Source organism: Homo sapiens, chromosome 5 (assembly GCF_000001405.40).
Source record: "Homo sapiens chromosome 5, GRCh38.p14 Primary Assembly".
NCBI classification, from domain to species: Eukaryota; Metazoa; Chordata; class Mammalia; order Primates; family Hominidae; genus Homo; species Homo sapiens.
In genome coordinates, this window is record NC_000005.10 from 117,492,195 (window position 1) to 117,508,609 (window position 16,415).

The 16,415-nt window shown below is 34.1% G+C and overlaps 2 long non-coding RNA genes across 2 annotated transcripts in view; both read left to right on the forward strand.

Moving 5' to 3' along the window:
• LINC00992 (long intergenic non-protein coding RNA 992) overlaps positions 1–16,415 on the forward strand; it is a 164,233-nt gene that overhangs the window by 76,683 nt on the left and 71,135 nt on the right. The gene's annotated exons all lie outside the window — the stretch shown is intronic.
• On the forward strand, positions 13,450–15,620 carry LOC124901050 (uncharacterized). The gene is made up of 2 exons (XR_007058909.1): positions 13,450–13,510; positions 15,419–15,620. It is a non-coding gene; the product is annotated as an uncharacterized LOC124901050 (long non-coding RNA).

The following is a 16,415-nucleotide window of genomic DNA, read 5'->3' on the forward strand; positions in this document are numbered from 1 at the left end:
AGTGATGATGAGCATTTTTTCATGTGTCTGTTGGCTGCATAAATGTCTTCTTTTGAGAAGTGTCTGTTCATATCCTTTGCCCACTTTTTGATGGGGTTGTTTGATTTTCTCTTGTAAATTTGTTTAAGTTCTTTGTAGATTCTGGTTCCATATGAACTTTAAAGTAGTTTTTTCCAATTCTGTGAAGAAAGTCATTGGTAGCTTGATGGGGATGGCATTGAATCTATAAATTACCTTGGGCAGTATGGCCATTTTCACGATATTGATTCTACCTACCCATGAGCATGGAATGTTCTTCCATTTGTTTAAAAACTCTCAATAAATTAGGTATTGATGGGACGTATCTCAAAATAATAAGAGCTATCTATGACAAACACACAGCCAATATCATACTGAATGGGCAAAAACTGGAAGCATTCCCTTTGAAAACTGGCACAAGACAGGGATGCCCTCTCTCACCACTCCCATTCAACATAGTGTTGGAAGTTCTGGCCAGGGCAATTAGGCAGGAGAAGGAAATAAAGGCCTTTGACAAAATTCAACAACTTTCATGCTAAAAACTCTCAATAAATTAGGTATTGATGTTTTGCTGAACACCAAGATATTCAGACACAGGAGAAACCCCCGAGGAGCCATAATTAAAAATAAAAACAGCAACAAAAAACAAAAACTGCAAGTTCACACTGTAGGGAAAAGAGACTTCACAGATTTAATCCAGGGAAGTTACTAAGCAAGCAAACAAACAAAACACAACGACAATCCTCAATAAAAAAATCAGAATCCAAAGTTACTAAAACCTATAATAAAAAATGTCTAATATTCTACAAAATTTTAAGAGACCTGCAAAAAAAGAGGGAAAGAAGTGTGACATTCAACAAAACTAAAAACAAAACCAGTCAATAGAAACTGTCATTAATTGTCCACAGATATTAGATTTACTAATAACTGCAAATGAGCTATTATTGGTATTTTCAAAGAGCTAAAGACAACAATATTTAAAGATTTAAAGGAAAGTATGACAATAATAACTCAACAAATAAGTAATATCCACAAAGAGAAATGAATTATAAAAATAAACCCAATGGGAGTGCTTACAATGTGATTATCAAGGTTAGCATAACTATTGAAAAGCTCAAAATGTATGAATTCAGACATTTTCAAATGCTCTGGATGTTACAACTTGAATTCATTTTAGATACATATTTTTTTTTTCTCAACAGGTATATAATGCTGTGTATAGCATTTAACAAAAGTTGGTGCTTTCTTTTTGAAAAAATAGGTCCTGGCATTTTCTGGCCCCTTTTTTCCTCCTCCTTCCAATACAAATACTCACTTGCTCAAGAGCAATAAGTAACTCATCTTGGCACATTTTGGAAAAAAAAAAAAGAGTAATGGAACCAAATGTAACAATTTTTCACTCAATCCAGGGAAAAAAGATAAAATTAATATGTTCTGCATTTTTTCAGGATAAGACTGCTACTCCATTGATAGACCTATATCAGTTGGCTGCTAAAAGGACAAAACCCAACTGAAAATGGTTATTAGAGTCCATCAATTTCATGTGTTGATGTTACCAGCTGTACTTTCCACTGAGTTTCCAGTTCACTCAATAACCCAGAAACAGAATAAATTGAATTGTTTCTTTTAAGGAATAATATAGCAAAAAGCAATGTGAGGTCAAATTAAAATAAATACAGTAATATTAAGAGTTGGAAGAGTTCATAATTGGACAAAAATACCTGTGGCCTTTGTGATCAGAAATCCTTCAAATAAAAAGTTGCATAAAACGCTGGTGTGGATTATTGGCTGCATATCCAGATTGTATAAGGAAGAATCTCAACAAAGTGAGTTATCCACAGCATCTTGCAAGATCAATATGACTGAGCTATACAGTAGCTCAGGGAACTGATGAACCAAAGGCTTGAAAAGTAGGTTGGAGTTAAAGAATTGAAGCCCAGACTAAGATACCAAAACTCTGAATTCTTGCACTCTGCTGCTCAAAAAGCATTAATTGTTCCCCATCGCTAAATGTGAACAGACAGCCTTGAAAGATCAGTGTGGTACTCACATTAGGATGGATTGGAGACGCAGTGTATTGGAGGCAGAAATAAGATTTCAGAAAAAGATATTTTCAGAACAGAGAGTTGGCATCAGAGAAGGCCTGTTGATCACTTCCAGACTCTCCACATCAAATCCAATGTTAAACTACATTTTTATAAACATGAACCTTCTCAAACTCTGACAAGTTTGCATGCATAATTGAGTAACTTGTGACCTCTGACTCAACTTTAACATTCTTCAGTGACTTTGCAATTTTTTCTCACATCTTTCACACTTTATGAAACATATATTTTCAGAAAATTTTATATATATATAATCCTAACAATGTAATTAAACTTGCAGCTCAGTAATATATATCTTTAAATACTATACACTATCATAAAAATGTTATACATAGCACCATCTGTTGGCTGAGGTATCTTTAACAGATGAGAAATGTTTTATGTAAATTGGATTAGAATATCATTAAGAAATTTGAAAAGAGAAAGGGAAAATAGTTTTAATTAAGATGAGAAAAAGATGAAGTCTGTATGTGGTCACTGATAAGGAATGAAGCTTGTAATTCAGATTATTTTGGCCTCTGCCATGAGTAATAGCAACAAGTATGACAAATTGATCTTGTAATAATCTGTATTAATTTGAGATAATAAAAGTGATTTTTAAAAGCCATCCTTCATATATTTTACGTAAAACAGGTATAAATAGTGAATGCAGTCACCTTAAAAATGCAGTGCCATATGTAAAACAATTTATGAAATAGAGACACTATTTACTATGCGGTTAGAAGATGGAATTAACCAGATAATAAATAGTTTACATGTTACTCCTTGCTTCACTTTAGCCCATCTCTGAATATTCAATAGTGTAATATGTATAGACAAGCTGCATGGGAAATTTTAGTTATATTTACATGCACATCAGTGGAAATTCAGCAATGGAATAAAACTCTATCCTTAATATTTATTTCTTAATGAGTATTTGTCACAAGGACAGGTATCTAGTGCTTATAATTTTTTTTTTTTTACTTTTCCCTAGGTTGTGTCTATTGCTTTTAAGAAATACCAACAACTGAAAATTATCAGAGAAGTTCAAGAATACTATTTTCAGTATTAGATTTTCACCATCTACTATATCAGAAAATCAATAAATATACGTTAGGTGTCATGGCCGAATATTAGGCAATCCCTGTCTCTAAGGACTGCCAACACATTATAATAAAAGAGAAGATTCACATAAAGGACAATATAGGAAGAAAGGTTATATTATTTTAAAATGTAATAAATATTTGACAATAAATGATAAAGGTGTTCATATATGACAGTTCTTTTAGACCTGAAGTGGTAGGTAAGACTTAGTGCTTATATATCTTGTCCTTTCCATGCTTGTTCGTCAGCCGCTAAACTCCAGTCCATTATCCTATTGTTCTTTTCTAAATAAGGCTTTCATAGTTCTGTGTGTTTTCACAATGCATTCTCACCTATTCTCTCTTTCCAAACTCAGATTCACTCTTTAGTAGTCATCTTAACATGACTTTCATAGTGCTTTATCATATAGCCTCTGCTCATTTCCCAACTTCTTTCTCATCAATGTCTCAATGATATGGCATGCTCCATGTATGCTGAACTTATTTATGTTCCTAAAACATGCTAAATTCTCTTTTCTATATAATTGAAATTACTGTTTCCTCTGTCTACAATGCATTCTTTTTCCACCACATCTCATCCCATATCTCATTATTAGTTTATAATTCTAACTCATTTTTCATCTCTCAGATTAGAAATCATACCGTTTTCAGAAGCTTTCCTGTTTTTCCAATATGGGTGAAGAGTTCCTCTCAAGTACTCTCTTGTATGTCTGTGTATTAGGACTTACTACAACTATACTGTAAATTCCCAGTTCCTTTCTAGCCTGTAATTTCTATATATATTCTTTAAGACTGAGATCTAACCAGATAACGTAGTGTCTAATACATGGTGTAGACACAATAAATGTTTACAAGTAATTTAACATACAAATGATTCATCTCTCTTTAAAAAGCAGAGTTAGTTGTTACCCTTTATATGTTTCCAATTTTTTTTTTTTACCTTTTGTCATAAGTTACCATATTTATTTTAGGAAGTAGTTTAATCTTTATGTGCAAGGATAGGGACTGTCTTGGCAATTCCAAACCTTAGCAGAGTGGATGGCAGGATAGGTTTTAAATACACGTTTATTGATATATTAATGATAATAATATAAAATCAGATTGGTAGAAGGTCTAGAAAACTAAGGTACTACAGTTTGTCTCTGATTCTACTGCAAATCAATTATAAATGCAACAAATATTTTTCATCACACAACCAAAATTCAAAACTTTAGTCCTCCAAATAATGTTTTACAACTATTTCTTTAGTGCATTTTTTTCTCTAAGAGATATCAGTAAACATGCTTGACATATTTGAAAAAAGTTTTCATTTTTAAAGAAAATCTCCTTACTGTGGGATTTGCTGTTATTACTTCTTTTTTCCTATAGTTGTAAATTTATTGTGGCAGTGAACACAAATATAAATTGCAAGAACCTATTTGAACTGGTTTTATGCATTAGAATAAAACTTTGCAGTTTTATTAGAATATTAAACAGCTTTTGTTTTTCTTCTAAGATCTTGAATTCATCTGTATATCCTGGAAAAGGCAGAAAATAATCTTGGGAAGCTGAATTTAGTAGACATGTATATGGAACCCAAGTAATCTCAGGAGGATTGCAAATATGTAGTTATTCAGCATCTGCTAGACACTCTTCTGGATGTTGAGATACAGCAGTGAAAAAAAGCCCAACTGTTTTCATGGTGCTTATGGAGTTTTAAACATTGAAAAAAAAAGAAAAAAAAAGCAAATACAAAAAAGGAAACGAAGTTAAGATCAAAATAATTAAATAAGATAATTTTATATGAGTATAACTTCCATGGAGAAAATTAGAAAATGATAGGTTTAAAGAGAGGTAGAGCTTTAAATACACTGGCCAAAAAAAGAGTTAGCGTCTGAAAATGATTGAAAGGGCAAATGAGGGAAAAAAAAGTGAAAAATGCTTTAAAATAGAAACAAAAGTTTGTTAGCAAATTGACTGTTTTCTTTGATAGAGTTTACATTTTATTAAAGGTATATTAAATCATGACTCTTGATTGTTCCACCAGGTTGGGCAATTTGGTGAATTAAAAGGAGTTATGTGAGTACAGCATCCCACTCTAGGTAATAGCTCTTGGTAGAGCCCTATGTATTTAATAAGTGCTTAGGAGTATCTGTTGACCTGATTTGAGAATTTCTACTGGGATACATTGCTTTTCCTCTTTTATGACAAGAATAGTTTTAAAAATAAAGCACATTGCTTAAAATCAGGACACAAGATCACAGAGACCACTGTGTAAGGCAAGTCCATTTTTAAGCCTAACAACCTTGAGGGTGTCCCTTTGAGCAGGAAGTATTACATGTATACTGGGAAGAAAAAACTTCATTACTGTGTCCATTCTTTAGGAATCACAACTATCCTTTCAACTAAATAGTTTGCTCTGTCTCTTGGGATATGATTTGGATCTTTGAGAAGGAATGCAAGGTTATTGGTCTGGCTTGAAACGTTTGCACATGGTAATCTAAATCCCTGAAGAAACTTTCAAGTTTCTGGCCGAGGCTGCTGCTATTGAGTACGATAAATATGTTTTCAGAAACTCAGAGCAATAGAGAGTGAAATAATTTACTGGTAACCTTTTCAAAACTTTAGTTTCCTGTTGTGAACATAAGTTTGGTCTTTTGTCTCATTTGACTATCAATTTTGAGTTGCTTCATTAAATTTTTCACTGGGTCAGGGCCAGGTTTCTCAAGGGGTGGGAAAGAAGCATACAAAATTGACTAGGTGTAGGCTGCTTTTGAGACATGTTTTCTCCTTTGCATTCTGTGTTTAATGTGTTTAAGAGCTTTGGGAAAAGGAGTTGTATTACCTGCCCTGGGACAAATTCTGCCCTCAAAAACAAAACATAATTGATTTATAAGTTAGCAGTAATATTTCAGAGAAAAAGTTATTGATATTTTTATTTATCAACATAATTATTAAGGTGCAGGAAGGGCTAATGATATAAATATTTAGTTTCACAATTTCACTTTTAAAAGTTAGCCTAGTTCAACTCTCTGTGTATATTAACACAGATAGTCACAGGAAACCCAATCATGGAAATTTGTTGACAAACATGATCCCCATAAATCTGGGAATTAAGACCATTTCATTATGTATACTTTATTTCAGGTATTGGCATATCCATCTTTATTATCATAATCACTGAGATATGTATGAAAGTAGATATGTTCCTGGAACTTTTTATATAGCTTTATACACTTTATCTCATTTAATATATACAGTAACCCTGTAAAGTAGCTATTTTTTATGGCTACATATTATGAATGAGAAATAGAGTTTAGAAAGTTTAAGTAACAGGCCTAAGGTCACACCCAAAATTTCCAAGTTGTGCACAAGGTAATTTCCGGTACCATAAATAGCCAATAGGAAGATTCAAATCAAAACGTAGAATTTTATCTATTTTGTGAATGCTTTGATAGTCAGTGATCCTTGATACTCTCATTTTTTTTTTTTTTTTTTTTTGTGAGAACAAGAAACCAATGTGATGGTCAAATTAAAAACATTTTCTCTAAAAGTACTAAACATTTTTGGGGTCATTATTAAGTCTAAAAGGAATAGAGAAGTAACCCCAGGAGAGTAAAAAGTCCCACTTGTATTTCTGTTTTCCAATCTGAGAAGTACTAGGTGGGCTCAGCTAACTCTGTAATCGTATGATTTCTAGAAGTGAGTAAAGAAGTCCTTGGTTTCTTCAAGGTGTCTCGTCCTGTATAGCTACTGATACATTGCAAGGAGAGTATGAGAGAGGCAATACAGTCCAGAGAACAATGTCTGGGTTAGGGTGGCTGAAGGCCACCTTTACTATTCGTCTTAGGAGCAACCTCCCAAATCTACAATGTAAAAATGGTGGCTTTGATACAGTTACTATCTGAGGTCTTCCCCAGATATATTTTTTTAAATATATGCCTTAATTTTCGCCTTGACTTCTTTCTTAATGGGCCTCTTCTATTGAAAGCATTATGTTTTAGGAACTATTGTCCTGTGAAGATCTGAACCCAGTGCCCTAGTTCACCTGTGTCTTCATCATTTAGTATAGCAAATTAGTTTGTTGTTATGAAAATAAAATTCACAAGTAATTTTTATGTCAGCTTTGTGTATTATAGCTAGACACCCTTGACACAGATTTATTGCACTTCTTGGCAAAATATGTGAGCCAAAGGAACTTTCAAGACAGCAAAGAGAAATATTACAATAATGCAGTGTTTTGTGATGAGATAGGTTAAATTAAAGAACACTGGTGTATTGTGAGGAAAAATATACAAACAGTTATAAAGAGAGGTCATGACACGAGTTCATTCACATTTAAACAGGCTAGAAGAAAAGAATCAGGTTATTTCTGAAAGTCGTTGTGAGTGAGATTGATGCTTGTAGTTTTAGGAAATCAATACAGTGCCGTCTCTACAGTACATCTTGATTTGTAATTCATACAGTGTTATGAAATGTTGTAAATCTTCAGGAAGAAAAGGGGCTAAGCCTGAGGAGTTCATGCAGGAGAAACTAATGTTAGAGCAAAATGATGACTATCCCAGATTTTACACTTATTTCCTTCTCTTTTACCTATTAAATTTAGCTTTATGGTAAAAAGCCATGATATCTGTCAAAAGATATAAATGAAGGTCAAGCCATATTTGTTTTTCAGTTAGTGAAAGTCTAATTTTCATGCTAAATGTAACTGACAAAATGTTATGATATATAAGGCTTAGTTAAAAAATGTAAATAGAGGGATGTATAATTTTTTAAATTACTTGAAAATATTCAAATTTTAAAACCTTGTATTTCAATTTATGACTCAAGTGGTGAGCGTACAGTCACCATGAAGAAGAGAAATAAGATTTAGTTTCATTTAATAGATAAAATATGACATGATATTTTAAACTTAAATGAAAACTACATTATTTGTTTCTCTGAGTAATTATTATGTAATAATTAAGATTGTAAGTTTTTAAGAAAGTGACAGTATCTATGTTTTTTTTTTTTTTTGAGATGGAGTCTCGCTCTGTCGCCCAGGCTGGAGTGCAGTGGCGGGATCTCGGCTCACTGCAAGCTCTGCCTCCCGGGTTCACGCCATTCTCCTGCCTCAGCCTCCCAAGTAGCTGGGACTACAGGCGCCCGCCACCACGCCCGGCTAATTTTTGATTTTGTATTTTTAGTAGAGACGGGGTTTCACCGTTTTAGCCGGGATGGTCTCGATCTCCTGACCTCGTGATCCGCCCGCCTCGGCCTCCCAAAGTGCTGGGATTACAGGCGTGAGCCACCGCGCCCGGCCCTATGTTTTATACTCCATGCTGAATAGAAAAATTTGGACACATCATTAGACTCACAGTAAACACATATAGAATAGCATAGCACAGTATAGGGTAAAACTGGGTAGATCACAAGATCTTCTCAAACGCTTTCAGTTAAATCCATCTATATATAATAGCATAAAAATTGTGCTACCTTACATTATTGTTTGTAACCAAAAAAAATTTAAAAAATGAAAGTTTAGGCTCAGTAAATTAATGGCTGATTCTGATCAATTTATCTGCAAACCTAACATCAGTCTGCTAAATTCTACTTTTTGGGCCAGATGATAAAACTTTTTCAACACTGAGGCGTGTTTTTATTCAGCCTTTCGTTTTTCTTTAGCACACTACAACATATTTCTTCATCATAATCATAGTAATATTATGCCCTACAATATTCATTGTTTTACAATCAAATGAAGCACAGCACACTTTATTATATACATATTTTCCAGCTACCTACCCACCCTGCTATCTGCCACCTGGTTTAGAAAAAATCTTGACCCTTAACAAAAGATTGCTAGCTCTATTCTGTGGGTAACTAAGATGGTTTTCCAGTAGTGTTCTAGAGACAGTATTCACAAGAGCCAATTTTCGCACAATTTTTTCACAATCTATGTTAATTGAGAAAACACTGGTAGCTTGAAATTGACCGTGGAGGGAATATTTGTACTATGGAAATTGGCAAACCCTATGAATCAGGCTTTTTTCTCTCCTCCCCCGCCCCACCACACCCCTGGCTCCTGTGATAGCCAAGTATGTTAAGTATACCAGCCTACCACTGGTTTTCCTTTCTTTTTCTTTTTCTTTTCTTTTCTTTTTCTTTTTTTTTTTTTTTTTTTTTGAGATGGAGTCTTGCTCTGTTGCCCAGGCTGGAGTGCAGTGGCGCTTTCTTGGCTCACTGCAAGCTCCGCCACCTGGGTTCACGCCATTCTCCTGCCTCAGCCTCCCGTGTAGCTGGGTCTACAGGCGGGCGCAACCATGCCTGGCTAATTTTGTTTTTGTATTTTTAGTAGAGATGGGGCTTCACTGGGTTAGCCAGGATGGTCTTGATCTCCTGACCTCGTAATCCGTATTGTCTTTTCTATTGCTTCCCATTTTTACTGTAGAAAAAATAACAACAAAAAAAACCATAGTGGTATTTTAACTACTTCTTTTACAAACTCTAAACCACAAATAATCATGGGATCCGACAGGCCTGCAAAAATGGAGATTTATAGATATATTTTGGAAAAGAGACATCTTTATTTCTTACCATTTGTAGTAAGAGGAAAAGATGTTATTTTTAATACCCAATTCAAGTATATATTTTGATACATTGTATTTTCATACTCAAAGTCTGATGAACTTTACAGCCTTTGATAACTGGAAATTTAGAAAACATTCCTTCCTATCTGGGCTTGTAGTTTCATTTCATTTGGAGATTGAATTTGTCTTTCTATTATTCCCTACCTGCTAAATTGAACTTTTGGAGTAGTCTTCAAACAGTGATGGGATGCACAATATGATTATGTTTTAGAATGAAAGTATTAATGAAACAACAAAAACTATTAATAGTGTTAAATTGTAACAGGTATATTTAGCCGTGTATGTTCATTTACTGTACTTACATGGTATTTTTTCTCTTCTATTTCATATGTGGGCCTAGAACTACTTAGCATTTTCTCTTTCATTTTTAATTGAAATACAATTATGAAATAAGTATGGAATTCACATGGGGAGGCTTTCCATTTGCTCCACTATGTATGTCAAAGTACATGTGATTTATACTTTTCTCTTTAAGTCAAACAACATTAGTTTTCTTTGAACATCTGGGTGGCATCTGGGAGATCTACTCCACGCAGCATTAATCAGAATATCATTGTGCAGTATGGGTAATGACCGATGTGAATAGAATACATTTATATGTAGAAAAGCTCACTTTATTGATTTAATACTACTCAGTGTCCTGAAGTGCTTTGGTTTTCAACGCAATTTAAATATACTGCCAAAGTTTTATTTATTTCATCAATTTACACAATATTTGTCTTCCAAAGTACTGTATAGTAATCGCAACCAGGCAAGACCCAAAAAGCACTTAGTCTTCCATCTTCAGTCGTTCTCACTGATCATTTTCCTAGGAGCTAACTTTATAACCAGCAGCTGTCTGGGTTAAGATATAATGCAGCCGGCCAAGCAAGGTGGCTCACACCTGTAATCCCAGCAGTTTGGGAGTCTGAGGCGGGTGGATCACCTGAGGCCAGGAGTTCAAGACCAGCCTGGCTAACATGGTGAAACCTCATTTCTACTGAAAATACAAAAAATTAGCCTGGCATGGTGGCGTGTGCCTGTAATCCCAGCTACTCAGGAGGCTGAGGCAGGAAAATTGCTTGAAACCGAGAGGCGGTGGTTGCAGTGAGCCGAGATAGCACCACTGTACTCCAGCTTGGGCAACAAGAATGAAACTCTGTGTCAAAGAAAAAAAAAAGAAAAAAAAAGAAAAAAAAAATATATATATATATATTGCAGTCTTTTTCTTTTTTTTCCCTTCCATCCTCTCCTGTGTGAAAGGGACACTTTCACTTTGTTTTGCCAACAGTCTGCTTCTCTCTCTCTGCCTCTCTCTCTCTCTCTCTGTCTTTCATTCCCTGTCAGTCTCTTTCCTCATTAGGAATCATTTCAACGTCTGATCATGGAAAACATAAAAATTAAATTGTTAATGTCTTGCTATTTTTTTTTTAAAATTTCATGCAGTTTTCCCGTCCTACCCTATGTAAATTGTTTGCTTTCTTTTTGTTCTTCTCTGAGTGTCTCCTATTCTTAGCCTAGTTCAAAAGCCCTTAAAGTCAGGACTATTTATTGTTGTATGGGGGTCAATCTTACTATCTCAATTTATGAATGAAGAAAAAAATAAGAGAAAATAAAGAGACAAATACAAGAAATGTGAATTAAAATGATATAAATCTAAGGGCTTTTAATATGTTAATTATTTAGTGTTTAAATTATTTTTGAAGGCATTCTTTAAACCCAAACCCTCAAATAATGAATAACTAGCATGTTTAAATTTTTAAAAATTTTTTATTTCCATTGTTTTTTAAAATATTTTTTGAATGTTCCAGTGTTTCTTAATTGTTAATCCCCTGAAGGGAAAGACTCTGTTTAAATCATCATGTAAAGAACAACATGCCAAAGAGAAACAAATATACATTTTTCTGGCAATTAAAATAGTAATCAAATATTAACTGGTTTTATTACTTTCCTTTTACTTATGGTAGCAAATGGTCAGTATGGTAAGAGGCAAAATGAGTCAGTTATCTCTGAAGTTTGTTTATCTTATATTTCTCTAACAATGAAACATAAATATGTCTATAGGTTTGAAATTCTAATTCTGAAGCCAGGATTACAAATGTGAAGGCAATAGGAGTACCTGCTGAGCATATTCTTCCCAACAAATACATCCAATAGCGCAAAATCACTAGAGATGACTGCTCTCTGTTTATCACATCGGATCTTCTTTAGATACCAGAATCAGAGATTCTTGATTTCCAGACAAATATGACTGTGGTAATCTTGATTTTAAAAAATAGCACATACCTTTAATTTCTACGAAAATATAAAATTTGATATTTCTCTCTAGTTCTTATCCCAGTTTCCAAATGACTTTGCCTGTGATGATTATATACTATTAAACTTTGACTGAGGTCTTCCCCAGATGTAGCTACATGAGTCACTGGTTAAAACATTTCTTTACAGATGTTTGGAAAGTGCTCTGGGAGTTGGTGTAACAGAGGGTGTTTACTTATATGCTGCCTCAAGTAAATCAGCGACTGTTATTTCATGTACCAGAAGCCTAATGAGCCAATGGTGACTGCAAAATAAAAGCAAACTGGGTGTTATTCATCCCACACATAGCTATTAGGAAGAAGAAAAACTAGCTGTAGATTATGCTAAGTCAAAACAGCAGAACAACCAATTTTACCGTTTCCTACCATTGCTTTAACAATTGAGTTTAGCACTTAAGAGGTCACAAAGCAGTTCTGTATCTAACAAATGTTATGTATTAAAATAATTTAAATAGACATCTCTCTTCTTTTGAGAGAAAATGAGATAGTTTCTGGCAAGAGATGTATTGAGCAGATAACAACTCAGAAAGCAGTCTAAATAGAGGAGAGTGGAGCAAAGGCACAAAGAAGGGGTGACCCTTGATTTCCTCTGTGTTTCCCTGCAACCCCCTAAGCCCCTTAGTAGCTATTTTCTGCTTGCTATGTAGGTCATTATTATGGCTGGGAGTGCATTAGGGATTCACTTTTTTACTCCTATATTCTGAGCTGCATTTTTCTTGTACATATACACTTACAAACACAGACATATATACTCTTTTCTAATTATACTGTTATCCTGGAAATTTCCACTTTTGTGATGAGGATACTAAAAGCACAGAGTAAGGAAAAAGCCACAAGAACTTTCAGATTTTAGGGGGGTGTTTCTCCTTTCTAGACTCCAATGGCTTGGAACTTCTGTTCTCTTGAGGGAGTAGTGTTTGTGCTGATTGAAGTGACTAAATTTATAAGCAAATTGCTGAGTTGGAGATATGAGAACAGACACCAACACGAGAGGAGGAAGAGAGAAAAAGCCTCTCACAATGAAATAGTAGCATGTAATTTTTAGAACAGTAAGGGGGGTATCAAAAAGTGGAGAAAAATACAAATATTTGAGGGAAATGGAACAATACCTCTACTTGATTAATCAAAGGTGGGTTTAGTCCACACATTTGTGATACACGCAGAGGCACACAAACATTCAAGCTCACATTACCAATGAGGGAATGTCAGTTACTTTTAAATGTTTTTACTTCACTATCAATAACCAAAATTAGTGCTCTGATTGTGGCTTCAATGTCAAAATATTGGGGGAAAAATCAGAACTGTTGTGCCAAATTGTGCTTTCTTGTTTCAGGTTCACTGGTCCACTTGTGAATTCCTTAAGAGAGCCAAGGATTTGAAACTCAGTTGGCATGAGTGAAAAGGTGTGCCTTTCCTTGATCCTTGTTTTTCCGAGGTTGTGGACAGTCATGATCTTTTCATTTTATGTGATCTCATGGGTGAGAGAACTGCACACCTGCTTGGCTCACACTAAACTACATTTTTTAAAAGCCTAAATACATAACAGATGCACCAGAGGATTTATTCTGGGAGGAATTTGCTTATAAATTCAGACAATTAACACAAACAGCACAGTCATAATCTTATCCCTATGCCGTAATTACGGTATAGATTAAGTTGGCATTGTGTATTCCTTATGGAAATGAATCCAATATGTTTTATTCATATTTATTAGATGTGCTCAATAAAACATATTGCACATATATTTAAAATACGAGACAGTTTTATACATGCTATTGGAAATATAACCTAGTTAAATATTTCTAATGATAGTAACAGTGTTGACAGGTGATATTCTGTTTGCAAATCTTTCTAGAACTTATCAGGACCACCAAATCTGTCAGACACTCTTTGTTTTTGTTTTTGTTCTGAGACACAGTCTCACTCTTTCACCCAGGCTGGAGTGTAGTGGCGTGATCTAGGCTCACTGGTACCTCTGCCTCCTGGGTTCAAGCAATTCTCATGCCTCAGCCTCCCAAGTAGCTGGGATTACAGGCGCGCACCAAAACACCTGGAGAATTTTTGTGTTTTTAGTAGAGATGGGGTTTAGCCATGTTAGCCAAGCTGGTCTTGAACTCCTGGCCTCAAACAGTCGGCCTGCCTCGGCCTCCCAAAGTGCCGGGATTACAGACATGAACAACTACGCCCAGCCTGTCAGACACTCTTGAAACCTACTTCCTCCAGGAAACTTTCCTCAACTAAATCGAGTGATGCTGAAGCCCTTGACATAGAAATTCCTCAAATCCTCTTTCTTCACGGTCCCTCTAAATGCGGCTTTACAAAATCAAAATGCTTCATTTACTCCTTCTGATTTTCCTCAGAGTAATTATTGTGTGTCATTGCTCTTGTTTGAGACAGTAGGTTTCACAATCACAGTGTCTCAAACTTACTCATTAGTGTAATGCCAAATGTTTACTATATTCAAGTATCTATTGTAATATGTTATAAATTTCACAAAATTGGCTAATTTTTATATTTAAGTCATTTATTTAAAAGGGACATTTTAATTACTACTATACATCTGAAATTAGTATTTTTCATAAATGAAAGATAAATATAAAAGTAAAACAATAAAAACATAATAATGTAATTAAATTCCACCTTGAAACCTTCGCCAGAGGAAGCTAATTTAATGCCTGATTCCCAATTGTCAGAAAGGACATAAGAAGGGTTAAATGTTAACGACTTAATAGTAACAGGCATAGGCTTGCCTCTGATGTAAACTGAGAGAATAAAAAAGCAATCTTAATACTTACAAAGAATTCTTAGGAAGAACAAAAATTAAAAAGGAGTAACTTTCTCACCATTTTTTAGTAATGTACTTGTATTACTGACTACAGTCATCTTATGTACCATCACTGTAGTGAGTCACACATTTGAGGATCTTCTGCCTTGCTGATGTGCAGTATTATGTCATCTGTAAAGTATACAATATGATATAAAATATAGACAGTAACTTTTTTATACAGAAAAAAATATAAAAGGAAGTCCACTAATGTGAAGTTCAAAAACACTCTAATACATGGTAATAGGAGTCAAATTAGTGGTTACTTTTGTGGGTTAGTTCATGACAGCAGATATTCAGGACACTTCTGCAGTGGGGGGTGGTAATATTCTATATCTCAGTCTGGGTAGTAGTTACATGATTGTGTTTGCTTTGTGAAAATACATTCTGCTGTACACAGTATATGTGCACATTTATGTTGTGTGTTATGTGTCAATAAAATATTATTTAATACAATAATAATAAAAAGATATACTTGCTTACTTAGGAAGAAGTTCACAGACAGGATGGCATCATGATAAGTAAACTCCAGTGGTGTGTTAAAGATGGCTTGTACGGGCTTGTGAGAATTACCAGCTAATCTTCTGGAGTTTTGTAAGCTGGCTATTAAACACAGCCATTGCCCAAAATCAAATTATATAAAATCATGTTAAAATTAAAGGTAATAAATATAACTCATTATTTCCTAATTATTATACTATTGTTTATATTCTTGAAGTTATTTACTTCTAAATTCTATGGTGAAAATACCATGTAATGTACTACTCCACATCTTTGCCCAACTCTGCTTAGTGACATCAAGGTTGTTACCTTAAATCTGCCATGCAGAGAGTATTTCCACCGCAAAAGTTATCAAACAATATAAATTAGGGCATCCTTTACATCTAAAGAGCCAATTGTTAAACATAGCACAACACTGCTACATACAGTGTTTGAACAATGACATCAAAAAATCAAAGACATTTGCCTGAGGTCTTACTCATGAATTCCTTGCCTAGACTATTGTCCAAAAGAGTTTTGTCTAGGATTTTCTCTAATATTTTTATAGTTTCAGGTCTTACACTTAAGTCTTTAATGCATCTTGGGTTGATTTTTGTATATGGTGAGAGATAAGAGTCCAGTTTCATTTTTCTGCATAAAGAAATTATTCTGGTGCTGAACACACAAAAAGCCCTGACATCACCACTATGCACTACAGTCATGTAACAAAATTATATTTGTATCCCATGAATTTTTACAAGTAAAATTTTTTTAATTAAAAATGTTTGTAATACATACAACTAATACAAAAACTGATATCAAGAATATGCAAAAATCTCTATAAGTCAATAGAAAAAAAAGATAGACACCCAAATAGAAAAATAGGCAGAAGGCCTGAACCTTGCAAAAATGTATATATGTGATCAAAAAGTATGAAAATATGTTATACTTCATCAGTCATTAGGAAAATGTAAATTAAAATCATAGTGAGATACAAATATAAA